This window comes from Homo sapiens, chromosome 3 (assembly GCF_000001405.40).
Source record: "Homo sapiens chromosome 3, GRCh38.p14 Primary Assembly".
NCBI lineage: Eukaryota > Metazoa > Chordata > Mammalia > Primates > Hominidae > Homo > Homo sapiens.
Window position 1 is genome coordinate 183,300,916 of NC_000003.12, and position 24,786 is coordinate 183,325,701.

The 24,786-nt window shown below is 44.1% G+C and overlaps 1 protein-coding gene across 7 annotated transcripts in view; it reads right to left on the reverse strand.

The window, feature by feature from the left end:
• The window catches only part of MCF2L2 (MCF.2 cell line derived transforming sequence-like 2), a 250,579-nt gene that overhangs the window by 122,875 nt on the left and 102,918 nt on the right, over positions 1 to 24,786 (reverse strand). For 5 of the 7 annotated variants that reach the window (NM_015078.4, XM_017005943.3, XM_017005945.3 and 2 more), the window contains exons 6-10: positions 22,320 to 22,436; positions 17,153 to 17,302; positions 10,733 to 10,857; positions 10,000 to 10,114; positions 8,801 to 8,920 (exon numbers count right to left, since the gene is read on the reverse strand). In NM_015078.4, coding sequence (NP_055893.4) covers positions 8,801 to 8,920; positions 10,000 to 10,114; positions 10,733 to 10,857; positions 17,153 to 17,302; positions 22,320 to 22,436 — 627 coding nt within the window. The other 2 variants (XM_011512585.3, XM_047447751.1) reach the window with 2 other exon arrangements.

Here is a 24,786-nt window from a genome sequence, read left to right on the forward strand (position 1 = left end):
GAGGCAGGAGAATCGCTTGAACCCGGGAGGCGGAGATTGCAGTGAATTGAGATTGCGCCACTGCACTCCAGCCTGGGTGACAGAGCAAGACTCCATCTCAAAAAAAAAAAAAAAAAAAAAAAGAAATATGCTTGTCTAAACCCTTTCCCAAAGCCTGTAAGGGCCCTGTCTACACTGACCCTGTCTGCTCAATCACATTTCCTACCTCTTTCTGCATGACACTTCGCTCTAACCACACGTGCCAAGTTTTCCTGTTTGTTTAAGCATTCCTTCATTCATCCTTCTCATATTATTGAGAACCTGCTATTTGCCAAACACTGTCATAGGTGCTGGGAGTTCATTGGTAAAGAAAGCAGGCAAAAACCCCCACCTCATGAAATGAAGCTTACATTTTAATGGGAGACAGAGGCAATAAACAAGTGCATGTGTAGGTCATATGGTATCTTAGACAGTGATGAGTATGTGGAGAAAAATTAGATGGTGGGGAGGGCAGGGAGTGCTGGAGCTAGTATTTTAAATCGGATGGTGAGACAGTCTCCCTGAGAAGGAGTACTCAAGCTATGCAGAAAAGACTTCACATAGAAAGCCTGAGACTAGGCCGGGCTGTGGTGGCTCACGCCTGTAATCCTAGCACTTTGGGAGGCCGAGGCAGGCGGATTGCCTGAGTTCAGGAGTTGGAGACCAGCCTCGGCAACACAGGGAAACCCCATCTCTACTAAAACAAAAAAAATTAGCCAGGCATGGCAGCATGCGCCGATAGTCCCAGCTACTCTGGAAGCTGAGGCAGGAGAATTGCTTGAACCTGGGAAGAGGAGGTTGCAGTGAGCCAAGATCGTGCCACTGCACTCCAGCCTGGGTGAGAGCTAGGCTCTGTCTCCAAAAAAAAAAAAAAAAGAGAAAAGAAAGCCTGACACTACAGCCTTAGAAAGAAAGACCCGATTTTAAGATTGGCCCTTTGTTGGCATCTAGGAACTTAGATTTTTGGGAAGGTTTCCTCCATTCCCTGATGTGAATGGTTCATGATCCCTGAACTGTTTGTGCAAACAGTATGGTTTATGGTGATTACTTGCTTTTTCTTCTGGGAGTCTGAAATCTTGGTACTTGCCAGACAGAAGCTGCTGACATGACCAGCCACCAATAAAACCTCTGGGCATTGAGTCTCTAATGAGCTCCCCTGGTAGACAACATTTCACACATGTTGTCACAACCCACAGACGGGGGCAGGAAGTATGTCCTGTGAGACTCCCACAGGAGAGGATTCTAAGAAGCTTGTGCCTGGTTTCCTCCAGACTTCACCTCGCATGCCTTTCTCCTTTGCTAATTTTGCTTAGTACTTTCTCATCTTAATAGATCATAACTCTAATACAGCTACATGCAGAATCCTCCTAGTGAATCTTCGAAGAAATGTGTGCATGGTCTTGGGAGCGCTCTGCATACAAGCTGAGACCTGAAGTCAGGGACAAGCCGTGCAGTACTTGGCTGGGAGGTGAAGGCGTGTTTGACAAGTTTGGGTAGCAGGAAGGAGGCCAGTGTGGCTGCAGCAGAGGGAGCAAGAAGGAAATGAGTGGAAGACTAACTAGAGGAAAGAGGGGGTTCCATAGCCGGGGTGAGAGGAAAGCCCCTGGGTTTGGAGGGAGGATCTCGATCATGTTTTTGAAAGGACCACTCCCGGTACAGTGTCCAGAATAAGAGGAAATGCAGGGAGACTCATTAAGGGGCTGCTGCAGGAATCCAGCCGAGAGATACGGCTTACGGCTGGTCACCAAACTAGCTCCTGACTCGACCCTTCTCTGGATTGTTCTTCCCTGGGTCATGCAGAGCTGAGTTCCTGGGTCACCTCCTCACAGCGCTTCCCTGGCGACTATATCTTAAGTCATTCTCTACAACCTATTCGCCCAGTCACCTAGGCCCTCTCCCACACTTTAATTCTTTAACAGCATTATCTCTATCTAAAAACTATTTTCTTTATTTACTTTAATGTAGAATTCCTCCCTCCTGGCTGGGCGCGGTGGCTCACACCAGTAATCCCAGCACTTTGGGAGGCCGAGACGGGCAGATCATGAGGTCAGGAGATCGAGACCATCCTGGCTAACACGGTGAAACCCCATCTCTACTAAAAAGACAAAAAATTAGCCAGGCATGGTGGCACACACCTGTAGTCCCAGCTACTCGGGAGGCTGAGGCAGGAGAATAGCTTGAACCTGGGAGGCGGAGGTTGCAGTAAGCTGAGATTGTGCCACTGCACTCCAGCCTGGGCAACAGAATGAGACTCTGTCTCCAAAAAAAAAAAAGAATTCCTCCCTCCTCCACTCACTCCCACCAAAATGTAAGTTCCATGAGAGCATTTAGTAGGCATGCAATAAATATTTGATCAACAAAATAAATGAATGAGCCAATGAGCTACATGATGCGGTGACCTGCTTGGCTGGAACTCTGTGAAGCAATCAGCACAGATGACTGCCACATTCCAAAAGGTCTCCAGGAGCAGAGAGCCCATGAGCCCCCTTGCCAGCCACACTAAGCATCCAGTGCATCACTGCACTGCTTTAGCTGTTTACAGTAACACAAGGAGTCACGGTAACTCCAGGTGCGTACATCTTGCCCCTCTCTTAACTTGCACTGGTTTATGGTTTCAACAATTTCCAAACCCCTTTCCTCTTACCCTCCCAGTCATTCACGAAGCCCCGCAGGGACCGTCGCCTTCTTAATGCCTTTCAAATTCTGACCCCATCTCTGCCACCTCCTTGTCACTGTCTGCTCAGGCCTCATGGCTTCTCATGGGGACAACTGGTCTCCCTGCTTTTCTTCAGGCTCTCCTTCAAATCATGCTCCAGACTGCTGACAAAGGAGCAATTCCAACATATCTTATTGTGTCTACATCACTCCCAAGCTTCAAGCCCTTTCCTGGGCGCCCAGGGTCTTCAGGAGCAAGCTTAAACTCTTGAGCAATGCACACGGGGAATTTCATTATCTAGCTCATACCTGGGTGTGCCTGACTTACCAAGTCCTCTTCCACTTCCTCAACTCCATTCTCTGCTGCAACCATACTAATTATCCACTTATTGTTCCCCAAATATTCAGGCAGCTTCAGGCCTCCATCCCTTCTCCACCTGCTGTCTGCCTAGAAAGCCCATCCTTCCCTACTCCCCCTCACCCATACTCCTCTGGGGCCAACTCGATCTAAATCATATTTCAGACTTCACCTTCTCCAGAAAACTTTCTCTGTGCTTCTCTTGATCAGAGCACCTGCTTCATTATGTTGTGACCACTTATCTGCTGCCTGCGCTATGCCACAGACACCTATGGTCCAGAACCAGCTCTTATTCAACTGAAAACAGTGCATGCTGCATCTTAGGTACTTACAAATAAATGCTGCACAAAACAAAGAGGAGTACTGGTATAGAAACAAGTGACACAAATCAAGTAGTGGCTAGTTAAAAGGACTGAGGCAAAAATACCCAGAACACTTGTTCTAAACAGCAAAGGCCCAGGTGCACTGGTTACCACCCCTACAAGATGACTGGAATACTCATTCCCTGGGCAGTGATTTTTTTTTTTTTTTTTTTTTTGAGATGGAATCTTGCTCTGTAGCTAGGCTGGAGTGCAGTGGCTTGATCTAGGCTCACTGAAAATTCTGCCTCCGGGGTTCAAGCGATTCTCCTCCCTCAGCCTCCCGAGTAGCTGGGACTATAGGCGCCCACCACTATGCCTGGCTAATTTTTTTTTTTTTTAATTTTTAGCAGAGATGGGGTTTCACCATGTTGCCCAGGCTGGTCTCGAACTCCTGAGCTCAGGCAATTCACCCGCCTCGGCCTCCCAAAGTGCTAGGATTACAGGCGTGAGCCACCGCGCCTGGTCTGGGCAGTGATTTTTGACTCTTTGGTTCACTGCTGTGTCCTCAGAACTTAAACAGTACCTGGCATGGTAGGAGATGAATAAATATTTGCAGAATAGATGTCGAATGAATGACAGACCTTTCCTAGCACTGCTCAGCTACCGCAGACTGAACCTAGCACATGTTCCATAGCCCAGAATTTATCCCTCTACCTCTGTAATGTTAATAACAACAGCTAACATCTACTGAGAGCTTAACAGATGCCAGGCACTGTTCTGAATGCTTTACATTTGCTTATTTCCTTAACTCTTCACAACAAACCCTTTGATACAGGTACTGTTTTACCAAAGGGAAGTGGAGCACAATGGCCCAAGGTGACCCAGGTAGGAAAGAGAAGAGCCAGGCTTCAAACCCAGGCAGTCTTGCTCCAGGATCTGGCTCAGACCAACATACACAGAGAAAAATGGCTGCACTTGTTCTGCCTAAACTTAGAGACCTCATTTGGTTGCTCGAACTTGTCTGACTTTAGTCAAATATAGAAACATGAGACTTGGCATGAAAGTCTCTGTTGACACTTTTTTTTTTTTTAAGTCCAGCTGCCTAATTTATTAAGAACAGGGCAGAATTTTCTGGGTCCAGGGAAATTCACCACAGGATACTTCCAAATCACCCTGTGGTGATCAGAGCCTGCCCTTCCCTCAGCATACAGTATTTCACCCTTCAGAATTTTCCAGAAGACATTTGAGATGTTAGAGGGAAGATGTGTGTAACAGGTCCAAATGGGTCTAGGGAGAAACGCCCATAAAGGCAACTGAGGAGGCCGGGCGCAGTGGGTCACGCCTGTAATCCCAGCACTTTGGGAAGCCAAGGCCGGCGGATCACAAGGTCAGGAGTTAGAGACCAGCCTGACCAACATGGTGAAACCCCATCTCTACTAAAAATACAAAAATTAGCCGGGTGTGGTGGAGGGTACCTGTAGTCCCAGCTACTTGGGAGGCTGAGACAGAAGAATCGCTTGAACCCAGGAGGCGGAGGTTGCAGTGAGCTGAGATTGTGCCACTGCACTCCAGCCTGGGCGGCAAGAGTGAAACTCCGTCTCAAAAAAAAGGGCAACTAAGGAGCAACCCGGATTCAGCCACCACATGGCTGGAAGGTCACTATTACAGAATTGAAAGGACAACAATAGTTTCTGACCACTGACTACTGACCACCAACCATATTGCAAGCTGACCACATGAAGTCCCTACCACACATCTAACTCATTTAATCTTCACAAGGTCTCTGTGAGGCAGGAATTATTACCTCTGCTTTACAGATGAGGGGGACCATATTCAGAAAGGCTACGAAACGTGACTAGGGTCATACAGCTGGTACTTGTTAGAGCCAAGATTTGAATCCATCCCTATCCGACTTCCAAAGCCTGTGTTCTTGTCACCTTCCAGCCCACCTGGCCTCTACACATGTGCTATGAAATCCTCCTGGTGCCTGCAAAGAAATTTATGGTGAAACCTCCAAATTGAAGCTTATTTTTTTAGTTTATATACCTCCCACTCAGGATAAATAGTCATCAAAATCTCCAAAGTAAAAAAGAAAGAGTGAGGGAAAAAATGGCTAAAATCTTCTGATCACAAGCCCATCTGGGATCTTTCAGATGCTGAAAATTCCAGAAGGCTGGATCGTCAAGTTTCAGCTTAGAAGTTGCAATCAGAAATCTTTATTGAAATAAGTTTATTTCCCCCCGAGGACTCTGCTGGTATAACAGATGAGAGATGAGAGTGCCTACTAGGGAAGAAAGTGGCGAGAAAGCGAGTGATGCTACTCTATCCGGGAATCTAGAACAAACCCACAGAGGATCCACAGGGATGGAGTGTGTGTATGGGGAGGTGGGCCAGATGAAACAAGAAAGGCAGAAAGCTAATGGTTGTTGAAATTGAATGATGGACACTTGGAGTTCATTGTGCCAGTCTATCTGCTTCTCTGTGTGTTTGAAAATTTCACACATGTACACAAAGCCATGACCCTCCAACAAGATGACATCCTTAGATGTTAATGGCCTGGGTTCCATGCCTTCTTAGACACAGCACCCTTATGGGGAGAGGTCAAGGCTGAAATCAGGTGGTTCCTCCACCCTGTCCTGGTCTGTTCCCTGCTGGCCCCTCAGCAAGGGTCTCAGTACGGCCCACAGTCAAAACCCTGCAGCAAGTTCTGCTTTTATAGAAGACCTTCTGTAAGTGGTTGAAACTACTGTTTTTCAGAATCAGGAAGGAGCATTCAAAAGACTGCTAAACCCTCAAACGAGAACAAGATAAAGAACAGGCTGAATCAGCATGCGACAGGAGCCTGGTTAGTGAGTTGACTGAGGTTACTTGTGAGAATGATGTCACTGTGTGGAATAAGGAAGCTGGCAACACCCCAGAGCCAGCGTGTGGCTGTGCTGGGAGGGAGCTGGCCCCTTAGTGCCGAGTAAAGGACAAACTCCAGGCAGATATTTGTCAGATTGTGGCCAGACACAGTCTTGTTCCTTTAACACTTTAAAGGACAAATGGAAAGATTAGCCAAGCCCTAATCATCTGAAGAAGCCATGTGTCTGAGAAGTCTGAGGGAAGATATATTGAAAACGATCTCAGTTACGATGAGACAGCTTTGTTTGATTTACGCAAAGGCAGAGACACAGGTGTACTACATCCTTCAGGAAGCAAGTTTAGAAATAAGATCTGCAAGTCATAGGATGTGACAGGTCTGCAAATCCTGCAAGTCACAGGTCATCCACAGTGGGCTAGTCTAGCTGCTTCAAGAATGTTGCCCACGAAAGGTGGGTCATGGGTTCACAGAGCATTCCTGTGTTCCATAACCACAGGTTTCATCCCTAACTCTGGTCAGCAACTTTTGAAGTATATACCAAGGACCACAAGTTCAAGGAAGTGGGCAGAAGAAAGAATGTGATGCAGTCATGCAGATCCATCGCCACTATTCAAGACACAGCCCAGAGCGCCTTCCAAGGGCTTTCTGTTCCACTGAGAATAAAATTCAAATCCTCACAAAAGATCTCAGGGTGCAACAGGACTACCTGGCCTCTGCTCATCTCTGTTCACTCATTTCCTCCTGGCCCACCTGCTCTAGCAATGTTCCTTGAACTCACCAAGCTCATTTCCACTTTAGGACCTTTGCACCTGCAGCTCGCTCTTGCTTTGATACTATTCCCTAAGTCTTTGCATGATTACACAGATCAAACAGATCTCAGACCAAAGGTCGTCTTCTCAGGCCTTTCCAGACCATTCTAGCTAAAGTAGCATCCCCAGTCACTTTCTATTATATCTTGTTTTCTTTTTTATATCACTTGTTACTATCTGATGTTATTATTTATTTGATTGCTTTTTAGTGAACTGTCTCTCTCCAGTAGAATGTAAGCTCCATGAGGGCAGATTCTGGACTGTCTGGCTCACCGCTGCACCCACGGAACCTAGGATAAGGAATACCTCTTGATGAATAAATAACCCTCTGGATAGGTCAGTAGCTACTTTCATATATATATGAAGGCATTTTTTTTGATGAGGCACTTTTTCTTAATATATGAATAAGCAAAAAAATATAGTATCTATATTCAGTAAAAAATTATTTTGAAAAAACTAAAATGATATAAGGTTGGGGCTGTCCTGGAGAATCTAAGGTATCTAGTCATCATATATATGAAATTCAACTTTTCCATTGTTTGATAAATGTTCCTGATGACTCATGTGTCTTTAGCACTAGTTTATCTGTCAAATGGTCACTGGTAAGAGAAAGAGCGCTCGCTGTGAAGGGATGGGATTCCTGAATGGGGATCTGGATACACAGCTGGGTTTGTGTGTTCATGCATGTGCACAAGCACCTGCAGCTCAGAATCTACAACCAACAGCTCTTAGAGTCAGTGTGGCCTTGGTATACTTTGTTTTGTATCCTTTAGGGGTGTGTGTCTCCAACTTTAACGTACAAGTCAATCACCTGGGGATCTTCTTAAAATGCAGATTCCAATTCCAGGGTGGGGTCTGAGATTTTATATTTCTAATTAGCGCTTACTCAGGTGACATCTGTGCTGCTGGCCAGAGGCTCACACTTTGGCAAATCTCTAGTACTGCAAAATTGCCGTCTGAGAAACATGCCTCCAGATTAGCTAAGAAAGGAAGCGCTAACCACAGGGGACTTGGTCCCCAAGACCCAAAAATATAGAGAACCTAATTTCAAACAAGCAGAAAGGAACTTCTCTGGAAAGAGACGACTCAGCTTTCTTCATTTGTAATAAACCAAATCTGTAAACACTTAAAATGGAATCATTTCTAAATGCTGACTTGTGTGCGGATCTGGGACACTGTTTAATTCCAGTATGGGACTGTAAAATACATATTCTTTTACAAGTTTCACATTTACAACTCTTGGGACATGAGAAAGGAGAAAGCTTTGCCAATTCTGTGTAGCAATGGAACTAACATGGACCAATTTCCCCCATCTAATTGTCTTGCTCCAGGTATAAAACTAGTTGTTTTTTTTTTTCTGGTTTCTCCTTTGAAAGTTTCCCATCCTTACTACCAACCCCACAACCCCCAGCCCCCTAGTCCAGGCTCCAGGGAGGAGCTCAAGCTGATGGGTGAGCCTCTGATATAATTGTTCTGGTGAGTGATGAGCCTGTTGTGACCTTCTCCCACTTGGCTGCTGACCACGTGAGAGGGCAGGGCTGGTCCAGAGTCCTCACCCGACCTGAGCGTCCAACTGCAACTGTATGTTCCGGCAGCTTTAATAGGACTCTGTGCTGCCCGTATTATTCATAGCAGTTGTTAATGTGCCTCTCTCCTTGGGATCCTGGGGTGACTGAAGGGCAGGACTGGGCATTCCTGTGTCCTTTAGCAACCTTCCAATAGCAATGACTGGACATGATCCATCATTGTCCACAGCAACCTCCCTCCCAGTACACAAAAATGTCAGAAAGCAAACCTGGCTTTTTTCCTCCAGTTTTTTGTGTTCCTTAAGAATCTGCTCCACGTGCATCACGCTGTCTCCAATGCCTGTAAACTCTGCTTGCTCTTCCAGCAAATTATCCAGGGCAAGCTTAGCCTACAAGAAACATTAGAACAGTCCAGAAGTAAACCAACACTCACTCACCTGAAGGTATAGGTTTGTTATGCTTCAAGAAAACTCAAAATTCCAAAAAGGATTCAAGACTTGTATATATCTATATATGTTAAAAATTTTTTTTTTGCAGCTCACTAACTTTCAAATTAAGCTGGGGGTGCAGAATTCACCTGTAGCTGAACTATTAGAACTATATTCAACAGATAATCAATCAAAAAGGAAGACAGCTGGGTCCAGTGGCTCATGCCTATAATCACAGCACTTTGGGAGGCTGAGGCAGGAGGATTGTTTGTGCTTGGAAGTTCGAGGCCAGCCTGGGCAACATAGGGAGACCTCGTCTCTGCAAAAATATTTAAAAATTATCTGGGCCGGGCGCAGTGGCTCACGCCTGTAATCCCAGCACTTTGGGAGACCGAGGCAGGTAGGTCACAGAGGTCAGGAGATTGAGACCATCCTGGCTAACACAGTGAAACCCCATCTCTACCAAAAATACAAAAAATTAGCTGAGTGTGGTGGTGGGCACCTGTAGTCCCAGCTACTCAGGAGGCTGAGGCAGGAGAATCGCTTGAACCTGGGAGGCGGAGGTTGCAGTGAGCTGAGATCGCGCCATTGCACTCCAGCCTGGGCAACAGAGTGAGACTCCAACTCAAAAAAAAAATTACCGGGTGTGATGGTGGGGCATGCCTGTAATTCCAGCTACTTGGGAGGCTGAGGTGGGAGGATAGCTTGAGCCCAGAAGATCAAAGCTGCAGTGAGCCATGATCACACCACTGCACTCCGGCCGGAGTGACAGAGCAAGACCCTGTTTCAAAAAAAAAAGGAAGATAAACCATCACTGAAATGCCATGTACATCAACAGGTAAATGGGATTCTAGAACAGTTTGACTCCACTGAAAAAGTGAGAAGGGGGTTGGAGGGGGTGGTCTGTAAAGAAGCAAGGAGATAAGGAGAAAGCTGGATTAGGGAAAAGAGGGAAACCCCATACCAAAGAGTGAGGAGGGAGAGAAAACCAGAGGTCCCGGTACCAGAAAAGAAAGTTACAGTAAACAAGAAAAGAATACCTTACAAAAATCGTGCTCAAAATGCTGTAGTTGTAGGCACTGGTTAAGCTTCAGATGATGCTCAGACCAAAAGTGACTAAAGGCTTTTTCTGTTTCATCCAGTTGAACTAATAACCTTTCAAGAAAGAATGAGAAAGTGATGTTAGGTTAGCATTCATTTCCACAGGCATCCATATAGGCCTATGGCTAGAACACCTGTGTCTTCGGTCAGTGGTGTCAATTGTGACCATCTCATTATTATGAAAGCATGTGTCACCTATGCCTTTCTTCTGGCTCAGCAGGCTTTGCACCTTTCATTTTCCAATCAGGACATCCACAGTGCAGGCAGTGACTTTGCTTCAGATGCAGCTGCTGTGCTTTAGAATGTGCTCCGGCTGATCTTACCTTCATGCCTTCTTTCTTTCTACCTGAGACTACACGAATATAAAGCACAGCTCCAAGCTAAACTGTTACTTGGAAATGAAGCCCAGTAAATACTACCCTCTCCCTCAAAATCCTAGGGTGGGAACATGTCATATACATTGAAGAGGGGGGAATAGAATGCTCATAAAAAGATCTCTGTATGTGGATGCCAGACGGACGTATTCTTTTTTCCTTTGTTGTCTCAAATATTCTTCTTCCTTGGCCCCACCAAGACCCAATATTGGCTGTTCCAATCTGTTCTTGGTTGCTCCAGAACATCTAGGTCTACATATTCTCTCCTGAAAAGGCTGATTCCACTTCACTCACTCACCTTTCCATGGTAGTTACATTCTCAAGTTGGTTGAGATTGAGTTTGCTGTTGGGACATTTGGTTGCTGGTTCTTGGATGCATGACAGCAATGTGGTCCCCTGCTTTCCAAGTAATTTCAGCTCATCCTAGAAAATAAAAGTAGTCTCTCTTAGAACGAATTAGAAAAAACAAATTCTTGGTAGAATTGAGGTGAAGAGAATAGTAGATCAGTACATTTTTCATTTAGGAAATTAAATGCTGATGAAGTCAAGATGCAGCTTTAATCAATTAACTTATCCTTGACAGGTAACACACCGACATGATACAAAATTCAAAATATCCGAAAGGGTATACATCAAAAAAAGTATATTTTTCCTCTTCAAAATCAACATCTGCTTTTTGTATATCTCAAGCTATTGTTGTAAATTAAAAGCAAAACTAGTTAATACAATCTAGTTTTAATCCAAGATAGTGACCAGAAACAAGAAAATGATAGATACTGAATGTTGAACGCTAGAAACTACTGAGCAATAATAATGTAATAACTGCTAGTTGATCATAAAAATACTTCAGTTGGTCTCATCAATAAACACCTGCCTCTCCCTCCACCTGCCAACCAACTATGGCCTTGTTTAATTATTTAAGTTTGGCAGATATGGGCAGCAATTTCATTTTAACATGGAAAGATTCATACTTCCAAGCCAACCCCCCATTCTACTCTTTTAACAGAGACTTAGTACTATGCAGCTGTGGAAGGCTACTTCCTTCCAAAGCCAACAGCTGTAGTCCTTTCCTTGGACAGTGCAGGTCATCATTCGTTGCCCTGAGCCTTACCCATAAAGAAAGTCCAGACTGCAAAACAAAAGTGGCAGAGCCTGACCTAGAATTTTGTGCTTGGGAATTATGGGTTTGGTTCCTGGGTCAGAGGAGGCTGGTTTGGTATGCCCTTGAGCATTAGAACAGGCCCATACTTCTAAAACAAATCAAGGGATCACCTCTGCACGCAAACACTGAATCACTTCCTCTAGGCCCAGCCACCTGTGTGGTCTTCACACAGCCTAGAGCTCATTCCCTGTGGGAAGAGTTTTAGACCTCCCCACTCTGATCACACAGAAGTCCTGGACCCTCTCAAGCTGGTACCTTTGTTCCTTGTGTCCCATCCTACTCCAGAATTTCCCCTGGAAGGGTTACATTGCCATACCCATCCTCAAACCTGGCCCTGGATCTGGCTGATGATGGACTTGGCTTCCCTGAGCTGGCCCTTCAGGGTTCTTTGGACACCTCCTCTGGCTCTGTCCACTCCAAACAGTGCCCCACATTAGCCACATGGCTGGCACTTTTGCCTGGGAATCAGGCATATCTCTTCTTTTCCATTCTCATGTGTCAGCCCTCATTTCTTATCTCATCAATGCTCATGAAATATTTGTAGGTTGGATAAATTAATAACAGCCTAAAAGAAGTCAGGTTGCAGATGAATAAAGACAAATTAGATATGATGGAAAAATGTACTCTTGGGTCAGTATCTTAGCCATTTCCTCATCCCACCTACTAAAGAGGGTCTTGGCTTTTCCCACTCATTTTCTTAACTGCTGCTGAGCTTCCAGCAACACACACACACACACACACACACATATCCATATGTGAGGAAGAGTTGGGAAGAAAGGTGGAGAGGCTAAAGGAGAAACGCCATATTGGTATAGCAGAAGGAGACACTGGAGGGGGAAGCTGGGAAGAGGGATACATCCAAAGTGCGGCAGAGCATGAATGAGGAAAGTGTGTGAGACAGGGAAGGTGAATCTTCACAAGTGATGTCACACACTATATATCCCCTTTACACTGTTTAAAAAGGATACAAGCAAAAATTGTGACCTGGTGACTGCTTTGGGATTCAACCACAGGGTCAACTTGAGTAGGGTTACAAAAATCTGTCATGAACACAGACGGAAAGATGGAGCAACTACGGTACTTGGAAAGGGTAAGGGGAAGTTGCTCAGCCTTTTTAAAAATGGAGTTTCAGTTTCCATGGAAAGAAAATAAACTTTTTGGGTATTTAATTTTTTTACTGCCCGCACTCAGGCTGGAGGAGAAACTCAGGGCACTATCTTCCAGAACATGTGTATAAGTTCATGCTCCCTTTCGGAGAGTCTCCTTTTCCCTGTGCAGACAGGGTCCCGTTGGTGGCAGGGTAAGGACTGCTTATAAACTGAGAGATAGCTCATTGCCTACCAAAGTTCCCTTTCCTCAGAAAATGGGAGCCCCACCACCACCTTGGAACAGGATCCAACTGGCAGACGAGGTGGAGGTGCCGTTGTGCGTGTGCCCTGAGCACTTGCTCGTACTCTCCTTGATGGGTGGAAAGGCACACAGCAGGAATGACGGGCAGCTGAGTCCTGTCTGCTTGTCTCACTCATCAGGAGCTGAGCTCTCCCAGGGAAGGCTAAAGCTGCTTGTGTTTACAAGACTTGCTCTTCCTTTCTGTCCCTCAGATGAGAGTGAAATCACAGAGAAAATAAGGTTTCAAATTTATCATGAAGCCCAAGGTGCCCGCAATTTGATTGGAGAGAAAATAGCACTTACTGAAGTCGGGAGCACTCTCTGATTGTAAGAATACATTAAGGCCCAAACTGTAGCTCAGGCTGGGGGAAAGAATTTATGTTTCTGGGGAAGAGCCTTCTTTAAAGTCATCAGTTTGCTTAGAAGTTTGATACGATTGTTCCACTGTGGATGTTTAGAGATTTTTTTCTGTGTGAACATACTGGTTTAATATACTGAAGGGCCAAAAGAAAAGAGGTTCTACTGGAAGATTATTTTGAACAAAATAGTAACAACTCCCTGGAGAAATAGCAAGTAAGGCTGAAAACCTCTCCAACTCAATGGCTCTCCTATTCTGTTTGATTGTTTGGGCGACCAGACACATATACCTAAGATAAGAGATCTCAAAAATCCCAGGAGAAAGGAATTCAAGAAATCAAGCCAAATCCCCTAAGCTGTGCTAGTTGTTTAGGAAAAAACACTCTCCAGGCTGGGAGAAAATGGTATATCACACGCTACAACTTTTATAGATAATTAAATAGATATAAAAGTTCACTGTACTGAAGAATGAATCTTATAATAGTTTTTCACTTTTCCAGCTGGAAAAGAAATTATTTGACGACATATAGAATCTTTGATTAAAAGGTAGGTAAAAGACCACTCACGGTAAAATAAAATATGCATAAATAACCACAAAAACCTACTAAGTTATTAATACAAGTTTAAACAGTATCTCTTTTTTTCTTTTCTTTTTTTTTTTTTTTTTTTTTTTTTTTTTTTTTTTTTTTTTTTTTTGAGACAGAATTTCACTCTTGTTGCCCAGGCTGGAGTGTAATGGAGTGATTTCAGCTCACCACAACCTCTGCCTCCCGAGTTCAAGTGATTCTCCTGCCTCAGCCTCCTGAGTACCTGGGATTACAGGTGCCAGCTACCATTCCCGGCTAATTTTTGTATTTTTAGTAGAGATGGGGTTTCACCATGTTGGCCAGGCTCGTCTCGAACTCCTGACCTCAGGTGATCCACCCCCGCCTCGGCCTCCCAAAGTGCTGGGACTACATACAGGATTGAGCCACTGTGCCCAGCCTGTATTGTCTTTTAAAGGATGTTAATATTACTTGGTAAAATAAAGATAATATTTTAAATCCAAATTCACTTAATATTCTTAATCGAGGTAAACACTTGGACAAATTAAATCGCTTTGAGAATTTTGTCTTAAAATAATTTTAGGTCTTCACCATGATTTTAGAGCTGCATGGAATATAAATGCAAGCATTTCTTTTACTAAAAGGCCAATTAAATGGAACCTTCTAATTTCCTTTCACTTGTCTTACAGGTTGGATAGGGGGTGTTTAACCAAATTAATGTAATAGAGTATAAATGTCAAATAATACTTCTAACTATGTGGCCTCCAAGGTTACTCCAACCCATAACCTGAGAGAAGTCTTAGCCTCCTTTGCTCAGAGCTGCCTGTTTTAATTCTGAGAACAGCTGGTTAGCATGCATAAGGAAATCCTCTTACTCCATCCTGGAAGCTGGTTCTTTCCCACCTTTTTACCTCTGCAGAACTCTTTGCCTGTGTAGAGAAACTATAGAACACCCACTCATCTGCCTTCCCTGTCCCCACCCCTCTGCCTTGCCCACCAGCATATACAGCAAGACCTGACTGGCTGGTTTTCACCCCCTAGTTATGTGTCCTTATCTAAAAATCTAAATGTTTTAACCTTTTCTCCAGAGACCTTCCTGACTGACCACATTGTCATCCCGGTGCTTCTGCTCTTCGACCTCTCCACGCCCTTCTTGGATTGAGGCAAAGAACGCACCGTGCTCATGAGCCCAAGGCACACAGCTCAGTTTCACAGTCCTTGCCGCGCTGGGCGTCCTTCCCATGACACCCCTTTGCACCAACAGGACCACTCTGCAGACTCCTTTTGGTCAGGGACCACCTGTGGGCCTGTGCAACTGCAAACTCCTTCCTAGCACACTTCATGGAGGCACCTGGACCCTGCTTTCAGCAACTCATACCTCCTAGGAATCACGTGAACTTAGCCAGTAGGTTTGGAAAAGCAAAGGCCAAGCTTCTCAGAGGCATTTTCAGGGAAAATTTTCATGATGTCATCAGGATTTTACAATTTCAGTCCAGATTTTTTTTTTTTGTTTGTTTTATTTTGGTGTTTTTTTGTTTTGTTTTGTTTTGTTTTGTTTTTGAGATGGAGTCTCACTCTGTCACCCAGGCTGGAGTGGAGTGGCATGATCTCGGCTCACTGCAACCTCCATCTCCCGGGTTCAAGCGAGTCTCCTGCCTCAGCCTCCTGAATAGCTGGGATTACAGGTGCCTGCCACCATGCCCAGCTAATTTTTGTGTTTTTAGTAGAGACAAGGTTTCCCCATGTTGTCCAGGCTGGTCTCGAACTCCTGACCTCAGGTGATCTGCCCACCTCAGCCTCCCAAAGTGCTAGGATTACACGCATGAGCCACTGCACCCAGCCCATTCCAGATATTTTGATTACTGACAGTAATCTTTGGAATATATTTTTTCTCTTTTGTTGTTGTTGTTTTTGTTGTTTTGAGATGGAGTCTCGCTCTGTCACCCAGGACAGAGTGCAGTGGCGAGATCTCGGCTCACTGCAACCTCTGCCTCCCAGCTTCAAGCAATTCTTTCACCTCAGCCTCCTGAGTAGCTGGGATTACAGGCACCTGCCATCAAGCCTGGCTAATTTTTATATTTTTAGTAGAGACAGGGTTTCACCATGTTGGCCAGGCTGGTCTTGAACTCCTGACCTCAAGTGATCCGCCCACCTCGGCCTCCCAAAGTGCTGGGATTACAGGCGTGAACCAACTACGCCCGGCCATTGTTTTTTTGAATAACAACCTCCTTAAAGACTGAATTTAATGGTGTTCCCTGTCACATGGAAGCATTAATTTGCCTCAATTACTAGACTCTGAGACTCTCCTAACTAGACTGTGTTCGTTAAGGTTGAGTTTTTGGTTTTCCTGGCAAGTAGTGGTAGGTGCTCAATAAATGTTGAATAAACGAACAAATCAACCATCTAGCAAAGCATTTTTGCAAATTTTTGGTCACAGACACAACAGTTCAACTCTTCCCAAGTTCCATGAGGCCAAGACACATACACTGACCGTCCAATCCTCATTTTGCTGCCCTATTGAAAACTGGGCTTCTGTGAAATAATGGGTTCGTTCTGTTTGTGCTTCTCAAGGTAGAAAGGTGCCAACACTCATCCAGGGAGAAGCCCCGGGAAGATTTCCCTGTACTGCATGAGTGAAAGAACCTGCCAAGCTCCCTTTTCTCGGCAGGTTCTGACGTGCTTTTACGAATCATTTAATAGGTGCCTGACCTTCAACTCAGGACAGGGTGCCTTCCGTAGTCCTTTTTCTCAAATTCATCCCCAAATAAAAAGATGCACTCCTGAGAAAGTGAAGCAATAAGTCCGCTTATTAGTCTGCCCCAAAACTTTACAACCACTGCTGGAAAGCTTATACTTCAAAAGCCAGCCCCTACCCCTGCAATTTCAGCACGTTCTGTCTTGCTCTGTCCTGAGCAGGATCACGAGAGGGCAACCCTTGAAAGGGTGCTCACATGCCTCAGCTCACCCGGACAAAGCTGGAAAAGCCCTTCCCTGTGCTGCTTCCCACCGTTCTTCACTCACCACCCAGTCTCAAAAGACTCACTCACCACCCAGTCTCAAGAGACTCACTCACCACCCAGTCTCAAGAGATTTCTTTCATTACAAACTGCCTGTCTGGAAGGTTTAAGATGATCAGTGGCTTCCAAGTCACTAAAGAAGAAGGAAAACGAGGGCTTAACTGTTAATTCTGCTTCCAGCTCTCTCCGAGAGGCAGGCATACCTGCTGGCACAGACACTGGCCTCTGAGAGGTCACTGACCGCTCACCTGCAGCTTGTCCCGCTGCCTTGTGTGGGACATGAGAAGGTCTTCCGTGGATAGCATGCTTCTGGGCAGCTCTGCTGTGGCCAGGCAGGACCCAAACGTCTGCAGCATCTGGGCAGTGGTCTTCAAGGTCAAGGCAAAGTTTTCGATGGCCTGGAAGGTCAGACAATTGTAACAATATGGAGAGATTAACATTCACCAACATGCTGTCTTGATGGAAAGACAACAGATTTAGTTGATAAAATTAGTGAATAATCACCTCACCTTGGAAATGGTATAGAGGACCTGATTCTGATAGGGAGATTAAAAAGAGGCTGGTTTTAGTCTCAATGCTGCCACTAGTTGACCAAATGACTTTGGATAAGTCACCTCTTTACACTGAACGTCAGTTTATTTATCTATAAAATAAAGTGATTGAGTCACACGATCTTTAAGATTCCTTTGAGTTCTAACTTTCTGAGTCTCTCGTTCAAAGAGGTGACACCCAGAAAATGCACTGTCACACAGAAAAGAATCTATATATCTCACTTATAAAACAATATGTACTGTATATGTGTGGTTATATTATTCCTAGTTATATATACAGGCAAACCTCAGAGATATTGTGGGTTTGGTTCTAGGCCACTGCAATGAAGCCAATGTTACAATAAAGTGAGTCACAAAAATTCTTTTGTGTCCTAGTGCAAAGGGAAGTTATGTTTACAGTATACTGTAGTCTATTAAGTGTGCAATAGCATTATGTCAAAAATTCCACATACCTTAATTTCAAAATACTTTATTGTTAAAAAATGCTAACCATCTTCTGGGCCTTCATCAAATCACAATCTTTTTGCTGCCGGAGGGTCTTGCCTCAATGTGGATGGCTGCTGACTGATCAGGGTGATGGTTGCCGAAGGCTGGAATGGTGGTGACAATTTCTTAAAGTAAGACAACAATGAAGTTGCCACATCAATTGACTTCCTTTCATGAAAGAATTCTCTGTAGCATGCGAAACTGTTTGGTAGCAGTTTACTCACAATAGAACTTCTTTCAAAATTGGAGTTAATCCTCTCAAACTCTGCCACTGCTTTGTAGACTAAGTTTATGGAATATTCTAAATCCTTTGTTGTCATTTCAACAATGTGCATAACGTCATCACCAGAAAGATGAAGAAATCACTTTTTTTGCTCATCCGTAAAAAACTGTTCTTCATTCATTCAAGCTTTATCATGAGGTTGCAGCAATGCAGTCACATCTTCAGGCTCCACTTCTAGTTCTCTTGCTATTTCCACCACACCTGCAGTTACTTCCCCAACTAAAGTCTTGAACCCTTCAAAGTCATCCATGAGGGTGGGAATCAGCTTCTCTCAAACTCCTGTTAATACTGATATTTTGACTTCCTCCCATGAATCACTAATGTTCTTAAAGGCATCCAGAATGATGAATCCTTTCCAGAAGGTTTGCAATTTGCTCTACTGACACCCATCAGAGGAATCACTATCTATGGCAGGTATAGCTTTACAAAGCATATTTCTTAAATAGTAAAACTGAAAGTTGAAATTGCTCTTTGATCCACAAGCTGCAGCATAGATGTTGTGTTAGCAGGCATGAAAACATTCAACTCCTTGTACATCTCCATCAGAGCTCTCAGGTGACCAGGTGAATCTCCAATAAGCAGTAATATTTTGAAAGGATCTTTTTGTCTAAGCAGGAGGTCTCAACAGGTGGCTTAAAATATGCAGTTAACCATGCTGTAAACAGAAGTGCTGCCATCCAGGCTCTGTTGTTCTATTTCTAGGGCACAGGCAGAGTAGATTTAGCCTCATTCTTAAGGGCCCTAGGATTTTTGGAGTGGTAAATGAGCATTGGCTTCCATTTAAGGTCACCAGCTGCATTAGCCCCTAACAAGAGAGTCAGCCTGTCCTTTTAAGCTTTGAAGCCAGGCATTCACTTCTCTAGTTATGGAAGTCTTAGATGACATCTTCTTCCAATAGAATGCCGTTTCATTTACATTGAAAATCTGTTGTTGAGTGTAGTCACTTTTTCTTTTCTTTTTTTTTTTTTTTTGAGACAAATTTTGCTCTTGTTGCCCAGGCTGGAGTGCAGTGGCGCGATCTCAGCTCACTGCAACCTCCGCCTCCCGGGTTCAAGCGATTCTCCTGCCTCAGCCTCCTGAGTAGCTGGGATGACAGGCACCCGCCACCACGCCCAGCTAATTTTTCATATTTTTAGTAGAGACAGGGTTTCACCATGTTGTCCAGGCTGGTCTTGAACTACTGACCTCAGGTGATCTGCCCACCTCGGCCTCCCAAGTGCTGGGATTACAGGCATGAGCCACTGCGCCGAGCCGAGTATAGCCACTTTCAGCAATGATCTTAGCTAGATCTTCTGGATAACTTGCTGCAGCTTCTGTAGCAGCACCTTGCACTTGTATGTTACAGAGAAGAATTCCTTCCTTAAACCTCACAAACCAACCCCTGCTAGCTTCAAACTTTTCTTCTGCAGCTTCTTCATCTCTCTCATTAATAAAGTTGAAGAGAACTAGGGCCTTGCTCTGGATTAGGCTTTGGCTTAAGGAAATGTTGTGGGTGGTTTGATCTTCTATCCAGGCCCAGACCACTAAAACTTTCTCCATATCAGCAAGAAGGCTATTTTGCTTTCTTATCATTCATGTATTCACTGGAGTAGCATTTTTAGTTTCCATCAAGAACTTTTCCTTTGCATTCACAACTAGGCGAACTGGCTAGGCTAAGAGGTCTAGCTTTCTGCCTGTCTCAACTTTTGACATGCCTTCCTCATTAAGCTTAATCGTTTCAAGCTTTTGATTTAAAGTGAGAGACAGGCCATTCTTCCTTTCACTTGAACACTTAGAGGTCATTGTAAGGTAATTAATTGGCCTAATTTCAATATTGTTCTGTCTTAGAGAGTAGGGAGGCCCGAGGAGAGGGAGAGAGACAGGTGATGACCAGTTGGTGGATCAGTCAGAACACACACAACATATATCCATTAAGTTCACTGTCTTACATGGATGCAGTTTTCGGCACCCCAAAACAATTACAATAGCAACACCAAAGATTGCTGACCACAGATCACTGTTACAAATATAACAGTTGGCCGGGTGCAGTGGCTCATGCCTGTAATCCCAGCACTTTGGGAGGCCAAGGCGGGCAGACCACTTGAGGTCAGGAGTTCAAGACCAGCCTGGCCAACATGGTGAAACCTTGTCTCTACTAAAAATACAAAAATTAGCTGGGCGTGGTGGCGCGTGCCTGTAATCCCAGTTACTTGGGAGGCTGAGGCAGAAGAATTGCTTGAACCCAGGAGGCTGAGGTTTCAGTGAGCTGAGATTGTGCCACTGCACTCCAGTCTGGGTGATAGAGCAAGACTCTGTCTCAAAAAAAAAAAAAAAAGAAAGAAAGAAAAAGAAACCAAATATAATAGTAATAACAAACTCTGAAATATTGCAAGAATTGCAAAAATTTGTCAGAGAGGCACGAAGTGAGCACATACTGTTGGAAAAATGGTGCTGATAGACTTGTTCAACACAAAGTTGCCACGAAACTTCAATTTAAAAAAATTGCAATATCTGTGAAGCCCACTAATGTGAAGCATAATAAAATGAAACACGACTGTATGTGTGTGTATAAAAAATATATACATGTAAAAGGCATGTAAAGAATATCTCTGGTCTTTCAATACTAGTTGTATTTTTTAAAGTTCACTAGAAAATGTTCAGCACATACACAACCACAAACCATGGCTACATACTAGGCCAGGGATGGCCTATAACAAAAACACCTTAGGCTGGGTAATTTATAAGCAGCAGAAATTGATTTCTCACAGTTACAGTTCTGGAAGTTGGGAAGTTCAAGATCAAGGCCCCAGCAGATTTGGTGTCTGGTGGAGGTCTGTTCCTCATAAAGGATGCCTTCTGTGCCCTTACAGGGCAGAGGGGGCATAACAGCTCCCTTCAACCTCTTTTGCAAGGGCACTAACTCCATTTATGATGCCAGAGCCTTCATGACTTAATACATCCCAAAAGCCCCCTCCTCTTAATGCTATCACATTAGGTTCCAACATGTGAATTTTGAGGGGACGCCAACATTCAAGCCATGACTATGAGTTTTGATCTTTTTCCTCAATATTACTGAAACTCCTAACTTAGCATAACAATCACCAGTATCAGTAGGTAGGAAAAAGTAAAATACTATATATCAGGTGCTTTCACAGACAATACATCACTTATTCCCCACATCAAACTTTCAGGAGGCTTTCGTTAGTCCGGGGTTTCTCAGCATTGGCTATTCACACTTTGGGCCAGAGGATTCTTTGTTGTGGGAGGCTGTCTTGAGCATTGTAAGGTGTTCAGCGGAGTCCCTGACGACCCACCAGATACCAGTTAACTTTCCCCACTAAGTTATGACTACAAAAAAGTCTAAAGATATTGACAAATGTAGGAGGCAGGCAAAATTATCCCCTATAGAGAAATACTGTGTTAGTCCCATTTTAACAGATGAAGAAACAAGCTCAGAAATGCTTAGAAACTCACCCAACATCAGACAACATGTTATTGTGACAATTTTTTAAAATTAATTTCAACTTTGATTTTAGATTCGGGGGTACATGTGCAGGTTTGTTACATGGGTATATTGCATGATGCCAAGGTTTGGGGTACAGTTGATCCTGTCACCCAGGTAGTGAGTATCGTACCCAATAGTTCTACAATCCTTGTCCCCCTCCCACCTTCTCACCTATAGTAGTCCCCGGGGGGTGACACTATTTAAATGTAGCTTCTTCTGACTTCATGGGTGTCAATATGTATGTACGTTAGAATCATCTGGGGAGTTCTGTGGTGTGTTAATGTCTAAGACCCATCCCACATGAAGTAAATTAGTTTCTCTGAGGTATAACAGGCTATTGGTGTTTCTGGAAACTTCCCAGGTGCATTCGAAGGTAAGTGTCCCAAAACCCCCACACCGGGAGATGCAGTGGGGTAAGGTGGTCAACAGGAGAAATCCCAGCCTTCGCCCTTCCACACTCCTTCTTCCCCACCCTGTGGCTGAGAAATCCCAACCACCCCAAGGTCAGGCAGTCACAGGGTGACCTCCTGGCAGTTGATCTTTAACTCCCCCACCCCATCTTCCAGAAAACAAGGAGAGACAGTGAAAAGCACACGTAAGCTGGTACTCACAGTGCGGTGATTTACCCACTGACCGTGGCGATATTCCAAAGTCCCCCCTAATTCCCGGGTCAGTTGGCTTTTGTCGATGTAGCCGTGAAGGTCAGAGACAGAGTTTACCATGATGATCTGTAAGGTAAAAATTTAATTAAACATACTCCTCATTGATCATTAAATAATAGCTCATTTACATTCTATTCTTATCATAATTATATTTTATATTCTATTATTATTTAAATGATACTCCAACTTTGCTTTATCAGGCATTTATATTTAAAAATGGTTACAGCCAAGCACAGTCGCTCATGCCGGTAATCTCAGCACTTTGGAAGGCTGAGGTGGGAGAATCATTTGAGGCCTGGAGTTTGAGACCAGCCAGAGCAACATAGCAAGACCCCATCACTAGAAAAAAAATAAAAAAAAAAATTAGCCAGGCATGGTGGCATGCACCTGTGGCCCCAGCTACTTGGGTGGCTAAGTCAAGAGGACTGCTTGGGCCTGGAGGTTAAGGCTGCAGCAAACAGTGATCGCACCATGGCACTCCAGCCTGGGCGACAGAACAAGACCACATCAAAAAAAAAAAAAAAAGTTACTATATCCAGCAGGGAAATATTTTAAAGTCTCTTCCATTTTTTGCTTTTGAGTGAGAAATACCAAAGCGTGGTATAGCCTGTGACAAAATGTTGACTTGGCTCAGGGAACACAGTTCCAGGCTACCTAGAAGTCAGGCCTTGCTTTACGTGAATTTTCAGTCATAAGTTCCCAAGCTAAGGTACACCTTTCAGCCACCAAAATCAAGTGTTGTGCAATGGCCTGAAAGTCTACCATGAGAAGCCCAATCAAAGCTGGTCGGGTAAATGTGAAAATAAAACTAGAATACAGGGAAACACAAAGAGTATGCATTGAAAAGACTCACTACACTGGTGCGCCCCGATGAAGAATATTGATGTGTCCCTACTTTAGCTTGCACTGAGGGGATCTGGAGGTGACAGGGCATTGGGTTTTATAAGCTAGCAGTTCCGCTGATGAGCGAACACTCACACATCCAGAGGAAGCTGACGCATCCCCAATTGCCCCTTTCTATTCCTTGGCAGTAGTTCTGGCCTGGGTGTGGTTCTGGCTCACTCAGTGACTATATCACACCCTCTACTCACTCCTGAGTGGGACAAGGACTCCTCACTCCTATCTCTGAAACACATCTTTGAAGCCTTTAACTATGACATTATATTTTTTCACTCCCTGTTGATTATTTTGAAAATTAACTCTTGGTCAGAGGACATAAGAATATGGACTTCCTTCTATTATTGTAAAGTATTAGTCAAGGAATGAATCCACTTTGGAATGAGAATATAAATTAGAGACCAGCCAGGTACGGTGGTTTGCACCTGTAATCCCAGCTACTCAGGAGGCTGAGGCAGGAGGACTCCGTGGGCCCAGGAATTTGAGGCTCCAATGAGCTGTGATCGCATCACTGCACTCCAGACTGGGTGATAGAGGGAGACCCCATCTCTTAAAAAAAAAAATTGTGGCCTAAAGTCTATAGGCCAAAATTATGCAACAAAACTGATTTACTCTTTCAACAGATATGTATTGAACTACTAAAAAAAAGTGCCAGGTTATTCACAATAGCAAAGACTTGGAACCAACCCAAATGTCCAACAATGATAGACTGGATTAAGAAAATGTGGCACATATACATCATGGAATACTATGCAGCCATAAAAAATGTAGAGTTCATGTCCTTTGTAGGGACATGGATGAAACTGGAAACCATCATTCTCAGCAAACTATCACAAGGACAAAAAACCAAAGCATGTTCTCACTCATAGGTGGGAATTGAACAATGAGAACACATGGACACGGGAAGGGGAACATCATACTCCGGGGACTGTTGTGGGGTGGGGGGAGGGGGGAGGGATAGCATTAGGAGATATACCTAATGCTAAATGACGAGTTAATGGGTGCAGCACACCAGCATGGCACATGTATACATATGTAACAAACCTGCACATTGTGCACATGTACCCTAGAACTTAAAGTATAATAATAATAAAAGAAAAAAAAGTGCCAGGTACTGGGGGATAATAAGGTAAACAAGACAGACCCTGTTCTAGAGAGACTCAGGCTCTGTGGGATTTGATTACCACCTATCACCACCTTAACCTTGTCAGGCCCCATGTCTTGCTCCTCCACTTCTGAAAATGGTTTGGGGCTTTTAAAATGTATCTTTATAATATGAGAATGGATAAAAACCTGAATCTATCTGTGCCTTTCCCACCTAAAAATTTTAAACCACTTATGGGAGTTTTTAAAAGGTATTTATTCTTTCTAAAATTAGAAATTTTAGGACAGGTCGTTAGAAATTATCAAGCTAAAAATGTATTTTGCTTCTTGGAGTATGAGTTGCTATGGTAATAATCGACATTTTAAAAAAGACCCAATGTGCAACATTGTATTAGGCAAAAGTAACCTTGCACAG